At 41.1% G+C, this 12,762-nt stretch overlaps 1 protein-coding gene across 18 annotated transcripts in view; it reads left to right on the forward strand.

The window, feature by feature from the left end:
- Positions 1–12,762, forward strand: part of DDHD2 (DDHD domain containing 2) — a 42,063-nt gene that overhangs the window by 8,027 nt on the left and 21,274 nt on the right. For 11 of the 18 annotated variants that reach the window (XR_007060723.1, XR_007060724.1, XR_001745504.3 and 8 more), the window contains exons 6-13: positions 664–753; positions 2,639–2,774; positions 6,131–6,339; positions 6,622–6,689; positions 8,102–8,224; positions 10,097–10,192; positions 12,301–12,417; positions 12,521–12,676. Coding sequence is in view for 11 of the 18 variants with exons in the window: in XM_011544456.3 (XP_011542758.1) it covers positions 664–753; positions 2,639–2,774; positions 6,131–6,339; positions 6,622–6,689; positions 8,102–8,224; positions 10,097–10,192; positions 12,301–12,417; positions 12,521–12,676 (995 nt within the window). In the remaining 7 variants the exon portion in view is untranslated. The remainder of the gene's footprint in view (positions 1–663; positions 754–2,638; positions 2,775–6,130; positions 6,340–6,621; positions 6,690–8,101; positions 8,225–10,096; positions 10,193–12,300; positions 12,418–12,520; positions 12,677–12,762) is intronic. The other 7 variants (XR_007060726.1, XM_047421615.1, NM_001362913.2 and 4 more) reach the window with 2 other exon arrangements.

Below are 12,762 nucleotides of genomic sequence, written 5' to 3' on the forward strand. Positions count from 1 at the left end.
GGGAGGCAGAGGTTGCAGTGAGCCAAGATCGTGCCACTGCACTCCAGCCTGGGTGACAGAGCAAGACTCTGTCACAAACAAAAAAAAAACCATAATTTAAAAAAAAAAAAAAAAGAGTTTTTTTTTTTGGAGACAGAGTCTTGCTCTGTCACCCAGGCTGGAGTGCAGTGGTGTGATCTCGGCTCACTGCAACCTCTGCCACCTCCAGGGTTCAAGTGATTCTTCTGCCTCAGCCTCGCGAGTAGCTGGGATTACAGGCATGTGCCACCACACCCGGCTAATTTTGTATTTTTAGTAGAGATGAAGTTTCACCGTGTTGGTCAGGCTGGTCTCGAACTCCTGACCTCATGATCTACCTGCCTTGGCCTCCCAAAGTGCTGGGATTACAGCCGTGAGCCACCGCGCCCAGCCGAGTTTTCTTTTTCAGAGATCAGAAAAAAAAGAAAAAAGTCCTGAAAAAAATTTTACAGACTTATTTCAAGATAAATTAGAAACCAAGTAAAATCAGTGTATTTTTGCTAGGTACTTAAAGGACTATTTTGTATCTTTTAAATTATCTGTTCATCTTTTAACTTGCTCATATTTATAACCTTTTCATGATGAATGATATTAGAATACATGACTAATTATACAGAATAATTTTCTTTTTAATTTCATTTATAGGAGAACCTTTACAAATAGATCACTTGGTTTTTGTAGTCCATGGGATTGGACCAGCTTGTGATCTCCGCTTTCGAAGCATTGTACAGTGTGGTAGGTTTGCAAAGCATGTGAGAGAATATTAATCAGTGCTCTTGTGAGCTGAGATAAAGCCTTGTCTTTGGTCTATTGTCTTAGCTGCATAAGAAGATTTGGAGAGTTAAAGACAGGTGGCAAGGTAGTAAAGCTTCTCAGCTTAGACCTGAAGTGCTAGGAAATTCCTGAGTCTAATAGTTTATACTCTTAACTATTGTAATAGTCTCAAATGAACAAGCAGTTAATCCCTATAAAATTGTGTTTTATGATGTGGTGGTCCTATTTCTAACTATTTCAAATTTACAGGGAACCATAAAGATGATAGAGTTTAATGAATAACAGAAGCATCAATCATTTTTGTAATTCATACTGTGATAAACCTTTGATATTGTAATTGGAGGATTTAAGTCATTAGTATAACTAGATTTTGAAAGGTGTCCTCTAGGCTGGGTGCGGTGGCTCACGCCTGTAATCCCAGCACTTTGGGAGGCCAAGGCAGGTGGATCATGAGGTCACGAGTTCAAGACCAGCCTGGCCAAGATTGTGAAACGCTGTCTCTACTAAAAATACAAAAATTAGCCGGGCGCAGTGGCAGGCGCCTGTAATCCCAGCTACTCGGGAGGCTGAGGCAAGAGAATCACTTAAACTCGGAGGGCAGAGGTTGCAGTGAGCCGAGATCGGGCCACTGCACTCCAGCCTAGGCAACAGAGTGAGACCTCAAAAAAAAAAAAAAAAAAAGGTGTCCTCTAAAACCTGATAGTATTCAAAGTTTAATTGTTCCAATTAGGGTGTCTTATTCTAACTGGCTAATGGTTCTAAACATAAACTAGAATTGTATTGTGGAAGGTTGAGACTGATGTGATATGAATTTCAAACAACAGTGTATTTTTTTTTCTTTAAAGTATTGGGTGGTGCTTGTTTATAAGAACCAGAAAGTTAGGGTAGGAATTCAACTGCAAGACTGTTGTTATATTGTCATGTGATTAAAAAAAAAATGAAACAGTTCTCATGATGCCGACGTTTTGAAGTTTAGCTTTCTTTTTTTTTCCTTTTCCTTTTTTTTTGTTTTTAAATATATTATTTTCTTTCCTGAGACAAGAGCTTTGCTCTGTTGCCCAGGCTGGAGTGTAGTGGTGTAAACTCAGCTCACTGCAACTTCTGCCTCCCGGGTTCAAGTGATTATCCTGCCTCAGCCTCCTGAGTAGCTGGGATTACAGGCGCACACCACCATGCCTGGCTAATTTTTGTATTTTTAGTAGATGGGGTTTCGCCATGTTGGCCAGGCTGGTCTTGAACTCCTGGCCTCATAAAATCCACCTGCCTTGGCCCCCCAAAGTGCTGGGATTACAGGCATGAGCCACTGCTCCTGGCCTGAAGTTAGCCTTCTTTTGATGAAATATTTTGTATGGTAAAAGCAAGTTGTTAGGCCAGGCACGGTGGCTCACACCTGTAATCCCAGCACTTTGGGGGGCCAAGGCAGGCAGATCACCTAAAGTCAGGAGTTCAGGACCAGCCTGGCCAACAGGACAAAACCCCATCTGTACTAAAAATACAAAAATTAGCTGGGCATGGTGGTATGTGCCTGTAATCCCAGATCCTCAAGAGGCTGAGGCAGGAGAATTGCTTAAACCAGTGAGGTGGAGGCTGCAGTGAGGTGAGATCTCGCCACTGCACCCCAGCTTGGGTTACAGAGCAGTACTCCATCTCAAAAAAAAAAAGTTATTAAAGAAACATCTTTTCCTATATGCATTCATAATTTTTCCTGAATACCACTTTATTTTTGACGGAAGTCAGTATGTGTTCTGTGCAAATGTAGTTAGAGTATAATTACATGATTTGTTGCATCCAGATTCTACAGATTTGTTACTTCATTGTTGATGCATAAGTTAATTTTCTTTTCCAGTTAATGATTTTCGCAGTGTTTCCTTGAACTTGCTACAGACACATTTTAAGAAAGCCCAAGAAAATCAGCAGATTGGGAGGGTAGAATTTCTTCCAGTCAACTGGCACAGTCCTTTGCATTCTACTGGTGTGGATGTGTGAGTAATACTTAATACCTTCGAGTTGTTAGCTGTGATTATATTTTCTGATCATTGCTATGCTTGGGGACGTTTTTATGCTATAGCTGACTGAATATTTAAAATTTCTTAGAGATATGCTATTAAATGCTGATCAGTCCCTTGGTTTAATTAGCCCTGGTTAGGAGTGGAGAGCTGTGTGTATCTTCAGTATGTTTTACTGGCTCACTAGTATTTACTGTTACAGCTTCATTGTATCTTTAGCATTAAAGCCAAATATTGCTATCTTCCCATAGTGTATAACCATTTCCATCTTCAGATGTCAAAAGCTAGCCATACCCCAAGATGTACAAAGTATTTTGTTGTTCCTTTTGTTATTATATTTAAATAATATTTGTCCAAATTTAGAAAAAAGGGGGGATTTCTCAAACATTAAACTACTAGCATTTAAAACTTGAGGTATAATTGGTACAGTGACTTTTAAGTGATGGCTTTCTTAAGGTACAAGACCATTAGTTTTGTTTGTAAATTTTATGGTAATGACAGAGAATGTTGCTTAAATTGAGGATATCTAGCTATGGGGCTCTCCAGCAAGTAGTGTGTTTCTAATGTAGTTCTAGAATAGAACCAGGAGATGCAGGAAGTAGTCAGCATTGTTTCCATGCTGGTCTCAGAAATGGCTTTTCTGATTCTGTGTCTCAGTTCTCAGTACCCTGTGATTTGGGTATATTCTGTTTGCCAAACACTGTGGTGGGGTCCGGATTCTTCAATATTTGAGCAGATGCTAAGAGGTTACTAAGGGCACGTAGCCCTTATAAATTGCAGAAGTGGTTGAATATTTGAGGAATCTTTCTGGGAATTTTAAGAAACCTTTAACTGGATGTTAGATTTTGTCAGCGTGGTCTTCCTCTCCCAGATATGAATTCTGTTTGCTTTTGGCACCTGGCACTCACACCTTTTTCTGCTTTTAGAAATTGTGCATTGAGAGAGGGAGCTGATCTCTTTATCGTTTGACCTGTAATTAAAAAACCTTACTGCTGAGAATTCCAGGAAAAGCCTTTTACATTTTTTGTTTTGTCTTTTTAGAAAACTTTTTTTTATTAGAGATAATTTTGTTCACAGAAGTAGTATATATGATGAATCCTTGTATACTGATTACCCAGCCCTAACAAGCCTCAACACATGGCTGGTTCTGCCTCAACCGTATCTTCATACCTTATCTAATGCCCCTTCATCACCATATGATTTTTATCTTAGACATCCTGTAATTTCATCTGTAAATGTTTCAGTTTGTATCTTTTTTTTTTGGTTGGAGTGCAGTGGTGTGATCACAGCTCACTGCAGCCTGGACCTCCCTGGGCTCAGATGATCCTCCTGCCCCAGCCTCCCAAGTACTGCTGGGACTACAGGCATGTGGCACCACTTGCAGCTGATTTTTTTTATCTTTTTTTTTTTTTTTTGAGATGGAGTTTTGCTCTTGTCCAGGCTGGAGTGCAGTGGCGTGATCTCAGCTCACCGCAACCTCCGACTCCCGGGTTCAAGCAGTTCCCAGTCTTGGCCTCCCGAGTAGCTGGGATTACAGGCATGCGCCACCATGCCTGGCTAATTTTGTATTTTTGGTAGAGACAGGGTTTCTCCACGTTGGTCAGGCTGGTCTCGAACTCTTGACCTCAGGTGATCCGCCCGTCTTGGCCTCCCCAAGTGCTGGGATTACAGGCGTGAGCCACCATGCCTGGCCCAATCCAGCTGATTTTTCTATTTTTTGTAGAGATGGGCTTTTACCATGTTGGCCAAGCTGGTTTTGAACTCCTGGGCTCAAGCAATCTGTCTGCTTTGGCCTCTTAAAGTGCTGGGATTACAGGTGTGAGCCACAGTGCCTGGCCTGAACAGTATATTTTATTTTTTATTTTATTTTTGAGATGGAGTGTCGCTCTGTCACCCAGGCTGGAGTGCAGTGGCACGGTCTCGGCTCACTGCAACCTCTGCCTCCTGGGTTCCAGCAATTCTCCTGCCTCAGCCTCCCAGGTGGCTGGGACTACAGTCATGCGCCACAATGCCCAGCTAATTTTCGTATTTCTTAGTAGAGACAGGGTTTCACCATATTGGCCAGGCTGGACTCCTGACCTCATGATCTGCCCGCCTCAGCCTCCCAAAGTGCTGGGATTACAGGTGTGAGCCACTGCGCCGGCCTGAACAGTATTTTTTTTGTTGTTTTTTTTGAGACAGAGTCTTGCACTGTTGCCTGGGCTGGAGTGCAATGGCACAATTTCGGCTCACTGCAACTTCCGCCTCCTGGGTTCATGTGATTCTCCTGCCTCAGCCTCCCAAGTAGCTGGGGTAAAGGTGCACATCACCACACCCGGCTAATTTTTTGTATTTTTAGTAGAGACGGGGTTTCACTCTGTTGGACAGACTGGTCTCGAACTTTGGACCTCGTGATCTGCCCGCCTCAGCCTCCCAAAGTGCTGGCATTACAGGCGTGAGCCACCGCTCCTGGCCCTGAACAGTATATTTTAAAGGACTTAAAAAATGTATAACCATAACACTATTATCACACTTAAAAATTTCTTAATATCATCAAATACCTAGTCTGTTCAAATTTCCAGTTGTCTATTATATTTTTATACATATTTTATACATATTTTTATATACATTAATTATATAATTATATACATTAATTTTTGTATACATATTTATATAATTACAAACATGTTTTAAACTGGGATCCAAATAAAGCCCATACCTTGCAATTAGTTGATATGTCTTTTATTATAAGTCTCTCTTGGGCTGGGCATGGTGGCTCATGCTTGTAATCCCAGCACTTTGGGAGGCCGAGGCAGGTAGATCATCTGAGGTCAGGAGTTTGAGACCAGCCTGGCTAACATGACAAAACCCTGTCACTACTAAAAATACAAAAATTAGCTGGGCATGGTGGCACATGCCTGCAATTCCAGCTATTTGGGAGGCTGGGGCAGGAGAATCGCTTGAACCTGGGAGGCAGAGGTTACAGTGAGCTGAGATCGTGCCACTGCCCTCCAGCCTGGGCAATAGAGCGAGAGTCTGTCTCAAAAAAAAAAAAAAAGAAAAGTCTCTTTAATTTATTTTCTTGATTACCACTTACCTCTCTGTCTACATCTGTTGTTTTCTTGCAGTTTATTTATGGAAGAAATGGGTTTGACTTGAGGGTTTTTTATACTCTGAATTTTGCTTATCACATTCCTCTGGCTTCATTACACATGTTCCTTTGTCCTCTTTTTGTTTTTTCCTATAAATCGACAATTGTTTGTTATAAAATGTTTAAGCTTGAAGGCTTAAAATTGGAAGCAGCTATTAAGTGTATTTAGGTTTCCTGCTTATATTATTTTTCCTTTTTTCAGAGATCTGCAGCGAATAACCCTGCCCAGCATTAACCGCCTCAGGCACTTCACCAATGACACAATTCTGGATGTCTTCTTCTACAATAGTCCCACCTACTGTCAGACTATTGTGGACACAGTTGCTTCTGAAATGAACCGAATATACACACTTTTTCTACAGAGGAACCCTGATTTCAAAGGGGGTGTATCCATTGCTGGTCATAGTTTAGGTAACAAAATGAGTTCTGTGTGACCAGAGAAGACTATCACATTTTAAAGACACCTGTTTTTGAAGCACAATGTCTTTTATCAGTATGAAATTCAGAGGTCTAGAAGTGGTCTGTGGTCAGGAAATTTGGAAGGGGTTGGAAGGGTGGCGGTAAATTGGAAAGAAAGACTCCTTGCTGTATAGATTTGCTTACATATGTAATTGGCTTATGCCTTTTTTGTATAACAGAGAGCCATTTAGTGCTAATGCTTAGAAATTGTCCCTTCTTCTATTTTACTTATAGGTTCGCTTATATTGTTTGATATCCTAACAAATCAGAAAGATTCTTTGGGGGATATTGACAGTGAAAAGGTAATTTAGATGTTCAGCTAGGTTTTCTTGTAGTTTTCCTTAGTAAGGATTTATAGATTTTAGACTTATTTTTTGTTTTTAGCTGAGTTTAGTTTCATGTCATGACATTACATTTACACTTATTTTCATTTTAACAGACTTTTAATTATCTCTGTCATTCTTGGATGATAGAAGGAAGATAGTAACATGCTTCTACAAATAATAATTGTTATATTCTAAACCATAGTTATCTTATTTTCTTTTGTGAATATGCACCACTGGCTGGGCGCGGTGGCTCATGCCTGTAATCTCAGCACTTTGAGAGGCTGAGACTGGTGGATCACCTTAGGTCAGGAGTTCAAGACCAGCTTGGCCAACATGGTGAAACCCCATCTGTACTAAAAATACAAAAATTAGCTGGGCATGGTGGTGTGTGCCTGTAATCCCAGCTACTTGGGAGGCTGAGGCAAGAGAATCGCTTGAACCTGGGAGGTGGAGGTTCAGTGAGCTGAGATCGTGCCACTGCACTCTAGCCTGGGTGACAGAGTGAGACTCCGTCTCAAAAATATGCACTGCTGATCTGTTAATAGAGTTATGGAATCATTGAGCTAAATGAAGTTTGCATATGAACAAATGAATGAATTGGCTACAAATTGATATGATTTATAGAAACTCTGTTCGAAAGTATTGGGGACTTGATGTTTAAACATTATTTTAGTAAAAATTCCTATAACCATGTATCATCTGTAGGATTGATTTGGTACCTATTTCTCCTGTTGGACCATGAGTTCCTCCAGAGCAGAGCTTTTGTCTTAGACTATTTTATTTCTATTTCTATTTCTTTTTTTTCTTTCTTTTTTTTTTTTTTTTTGAGACAGTCTCTTGCTCTGTCACCCAGGCTGGAATGCAGTGGCATGATCTCGGCTCACTGCAACCTCTGCCTGCAGGGTTCAAATGATTCTCCTGCTTCAGCCTCCCCAGTAGCTGGGACAGGCGCATGCCACCGTACCCGGCTAATTTTTGTATCTTTAGTAGAGACAGGGTGTTGGTCAGACTGGTCTTGAACTCCTGACCTTGTGATCCGCCCACCTCGGCCTCCCAAAGTGCTGGGATTACAGATGTGAGCCACCATGCCCAGCCTAGACTGTTTTATTTCTTAAGCACTGTTTTCCTAATTTCTTAAGCACTGAGCTCCCTTAAAATTCAGCAAATGTTTGTTAATGATGATGAATATTTTACTAATTTCTTTAAAAACATATTTTCAATTGAAGTTGCAAAACCTTGGAACCTCTTAATTTATATCTTGCATAAATGACAATTTGTTAAAGTTAAGATACATTGCTGTGGAAATCTATGTATTTCTTTACTGCAAAATAGTATTAAAGGAAACTAAATGAATTTCAAGAATATGAGCTTTATAATTTAATTTTTAGGATTCGCTAAATATTGTAATGGATCAAGGAGATACACCTACACTAGAGGAAGATTTGAAGAAACTTCAGCTCTCTGAATTCTTTGATATCTTTGAGAAGGAGAAAGTAGATAAGGAAGCTCTGGTAAAAATAATCTTTTAAAACTTTATGCCAAGCCATTTTCAGTATTTTTGTTTATCGTGTTTACTAAGAGCCTACCCTTTAGACACTTTTTAGTCATAAATACTTTATGATTAATGTTCCTTAGCATTATTTATTTGCTTTTTATCATATCAAGTGACCTTTGCTTTGTGGAAGTTCAAAGGTCAGATGGCCATATTGATATTCATAGAGCAATGGAGCAGACTAACCAGTACGGCTCATAGAAAACATGAGTGCAAGAACAAACAAATAAATAACCATTAGCTATTCCAACTCTAATTTTCTGTTGTACTTTCAAGAGCTCTACTGTTATTTGCGAGTAGCTGGGATTACAGGTGCCCGCCACCACGCCTGGCTAATTTTGATATTTTTAGTAGAGATGGGGTTTCACTGTATTGGCCAAGCTGGTCTCTTGGCCAGGCTGGTCTGGAATTCCTGACCCCGTGATCCACCCACCTTGGCCTCCCAAAGTGCTGGGATTACATGTGTGAGCCACCGTGCCCAGCCAGCTGATTTGTTTTTTTTTTTTTTTTTCCATTTTTGTCGTGCCTTTTTCTGGTTTGTGATACATTCACTCATTTAACAGATATTTAGAAAATGCTTACTATACCAAGTACTGGATAGACTGGTGAATAAGACATATGATCCCTGACCTCATAGTGTTTATAGTTTACTGGGGAAGACACATGTTAAATAATCACACACATCATGGCAATTACAATAAGTAAGTAGGAAAAGTACACCGTGTTGTAAGAATTAACCTGGTCTCATAAGGTGCAGGAAGGCTTCCCTAATCAAATGAGTGATAGCTGGCTGGGTGTGGTGGCTCATGCCTGTAATCCCAGCACTTTGGGAGGCCGAGGTGGGCAGATCACGAGGTCAGGAGTTCGAGACCAATCTAGTCAACATGGTGAAACCCTGTCTGTACTAAAAATACAAAAATTAGCTGGGTGTGGTGGCACACACATGTAGTCCCAGCTACTTGGGAGGCTGAGGCAGGAGAATCGCTTGAACCCAGGAGGTGGAGGTTGCAGTGAGCTGAGATCACACCACTGCACTCCAGCCTGGGCGACAGAGCAAGACTCCATCTCAAAAAAAAAAAAAAAAAACGATGAGTGACACTTGAGATCTTGATTGTTAGTCTGTTCCATACTTGTGTGTTTGCTGTATGTTCTCAGTGCTTGCGTTCATCAGCAGGAGTATAATCCTTCTCAGGCATGTGACATCTAAGTCAGTATAGAAATCAAGGAAGTTTTTTTGTTTTGTTTTGTTTTTTTGAGACGGAGTCTTGCTCTGTTGCCCAGGCTGGAGTGCAGTGGCGCGATCTCGGCTCACTGCAAGCTCTGCCTTCCGGGTTCACGCCATTCTCCTGCCTCAGCCTCCTGTGTAGCTGGGAATACAGGTGACTGCCACTGCGCCTGGCTAATTTTTTTTGTATTTTTAGTAGAGACGGGGTTTCACCATGGTCTCCATCTCCTGACCTCATGATCCACCCGCCTCGGCCTCCCAAAGTGCTGGGATTACAGGCGTGAGCCACCGCGCCTGGCCAGAAATCAAGGAAGATTTTTATGTCCTGAAGTCCTTAGATACCCAACTTCTCTGTTTTTTTTTTTTTTTTTTAACAATAACAATGTCTATATTATTGTAACATTGATATTATAAGTATTGATATTTTCTATTCTTTTTTAGGCTGTTTCATGAATAAAACAGGTCCTTTTTTCTGGAAGTTATTCTATGATGTTTTACTACTAGAGAGACAGGCAGCAACAGAGTGCCTAGGCCTTGTTCCTCTTAGGGGACAGGATTGATTTTATTTTGTCTAGAAATAAGAAAGACTTGATTTTCTATGCCTAGGCTTTATGTACAGACCGAGATCTTCAGGAAATAGGAATTCCTTTAGGACCAAGAAAGAAGATATTAAACTATTTCAGCACCAGAAAAAACTCAATGGTATGTGCCTAATACAGCTTGTTGGACTAAACAATTCTTTGATGTCCATAGTGTGTCCTTGTGCTTTGTGGGATGTTTACTCTGGGGAGCCAAGCAGTTTTTTGGTAATTGATCTTTGGCTCTTTTTTTTTGAGACAGGGTCTCGCTCTGTCACTCAGGCTGGAGTGCAGTGGTGTGATCCCAGCTCATTGCAACCTCTGCCTCCCGGGTTCAAGCGATTCTCCTGCCTCAGCCTCTCGAGTAGCTGGGACTACAGGCGCCCACCACCATGCCTGGCTAATTTTTGTATTTTTAATAGAGACGGTGTTTCACCATATTGGCCAGGCTGGTCTCAAACTCCTGACCTTGTGATCTGCCCGCCTTGGCCTCCCAAAGTGCTGGGATTACAGGTGTGAGCCACCCGCCTGGCCGATCTTTGGCTCTCTTTCTAGAAATTAAACACATTTTCTTTTTTACATTCTTTTTTTTTTCTTTTCCTGGAAATGAAATCTCGCTGTGTTGCCCGGGGTGGAGTATAGTGGGTGGTCTCGGCTCACTGCAACCTCCACCTTCCAGGTTCAAGCAATTCTCCTGCTTCATCCTCTTGAGTAGCTGGGATTCCAGGTGTGCACCACCATGCCCAGCTAACTTTTTGTATTTTTAGTAGAGACGGGGTTTCACTATGTTGGCCAGGCTGGTCTTGAACTCCTGACCTCAGATGACCCATGTGCCTCAGCCTCCCAAAGTGCTGCACCGCTCCTGGCCCTTCTTTTTTTACATCCTTAAAAGTATTATTAGCTTCAGAAGTCTTCTCTCCTCTGGAATTCTCCTACCATTTATTTATTTATTTATTTTTTGCTTTTTTCTTTTCATGAGAGTTTTACCAATATCTACTTCACATCACATACCATAAAATTCACCCTTTTAAAGTTTACAATTTAATGGTTTTTAGTATATTCATAGAGTTATGTAACCATTACCACTATCCAATTTCAGCACATTTCCATTGTCCCTTAGGGAAACCCCATACCCATTTGCTGTCACTCCCCATTGCTCCCTGCCCCCAGCCTCTGTCAACCACTAATCTACTTTCTGTTTCTACAGATTTGCTTATTTTGGACATTCCATATAAATGGAATGTCCTTTTGAGCCATGTGTCTGACTTCTTTCACTTAGCATAATATTCTGAAGGTTTACCTGTGTTAACAGTACTTCCACATTCAGTTTTTCTGGTCACTGAATTTCTAACTCCATATCTTATTAGTTAGTTTTTTTCTTTTTGAGTCGGAGTGTTGCTCTGTCGCCCAGGATGGAGTGCAGTTGCACGATCTTGGCTCAATTGCAACCTCCGCCTCCTGGATTCAAGTGATTCTCCTGCTTCAGCTTCCTGAGTAGCTGGGATTACAGACACGCGACACCACACCCAGCTAATTTTTGTATTTTTAGTATGGGGTTTCACCATGTTGGCCAGGCTGGTCTTGAGCTCCTGACCTCAAGTGATCCGCCCACCTCAGCCTCCCAAAGTGCTGGGATTACAGGCGTGAGCCACCATGCCTGGCCAGTAGTTAGTTCTTTTCCAACTTTTTAGCAGGTGGCTCATTTCTTTTTAAAGACTCAGTTCTTGGCCCAGCCCATCGACATCCTACTTCCCTTGATTACAGAGGCACAGCACTTCATAGAACTCTAGCAATCCTCAGCATTATCTTCCCACAGTGCCCTGCTATTGTTTTCTCTTATGATTGTTGCCTAAAGTTTCAACGCTACTGAAATGGCTATGTACAACTTTCATCATTTTAGAGCATCTAAGAATGTCAATTAACAATTTAAGGCAATAATTTAATCTTGTTTTCTGAGGAAATCTTCCTAGAATTTTTGGCTGCCATTTCAGAACTTTCCCAAGGGTCCTTTCAAACCAGTAGAAAACTATATAATCCTTTGGCTATACTTTTACTATATAGTAGCTCCCCATACTTTTTTTTTAAATAGAGACTATGTTGCCCACGTTGGACTTGAACTCTTGGGCTTAAACAATCCTACCTACCTACCTACCTCAGGGTCCTGAGTAGCTGGGACTACAGGTGCATGCCGTCATGCCCAGCTTCTCCACATAACTATTTTTTATTCTTTAGGGTATTAAGAGACCAGCCCCGCAGCCTGCTTCAGGGGCAAACATCCCCAAAGAATCTGAGTTCTGCAGTAGCAGTAATACTAGAAATGGTGACTATCTGGATGTTGGCATTGGGCAGGTAACTAATTCTCTTTGATCATTTTACAGCCTGCTATTTGTATGGTAGAAACAGATGTAACTTTTGTTATTAATGAGAGATGCTTTTATTTTCCTCCTTTGAGGTGTCTGTGAAATACCCCCGGCTCATCTATAAACCAGAGATATTCTTTGCCTTTGGATCTCCCATTGGAATGTTCCTTACTGTCCGAGGACTAAAAAGAATTGATCCCAACTACAGATTTCCAACGTGCAAAGGTTTCTTCAATATTTATCACCCTGTAAGCATTGTACAGCTATTGTGGTTTTACCTAAATATCAGGGCTTATTGTTAAAGAACATAGGATTTTCTGTTGTGTTGATTTTT

The sequence above is a fragment of the Homo sapiens genome, chromosome 8, assembly GCF_000001405.40.
Source record: "Homo sapiens chromosome 8, GRCh38.p14 Primary Assembly".
Lineage (NCBI taxonomy): Eukaryota > Metazoa > Chordata > Mammalia > Primates > Hominidae > Homo > Homo sapiens.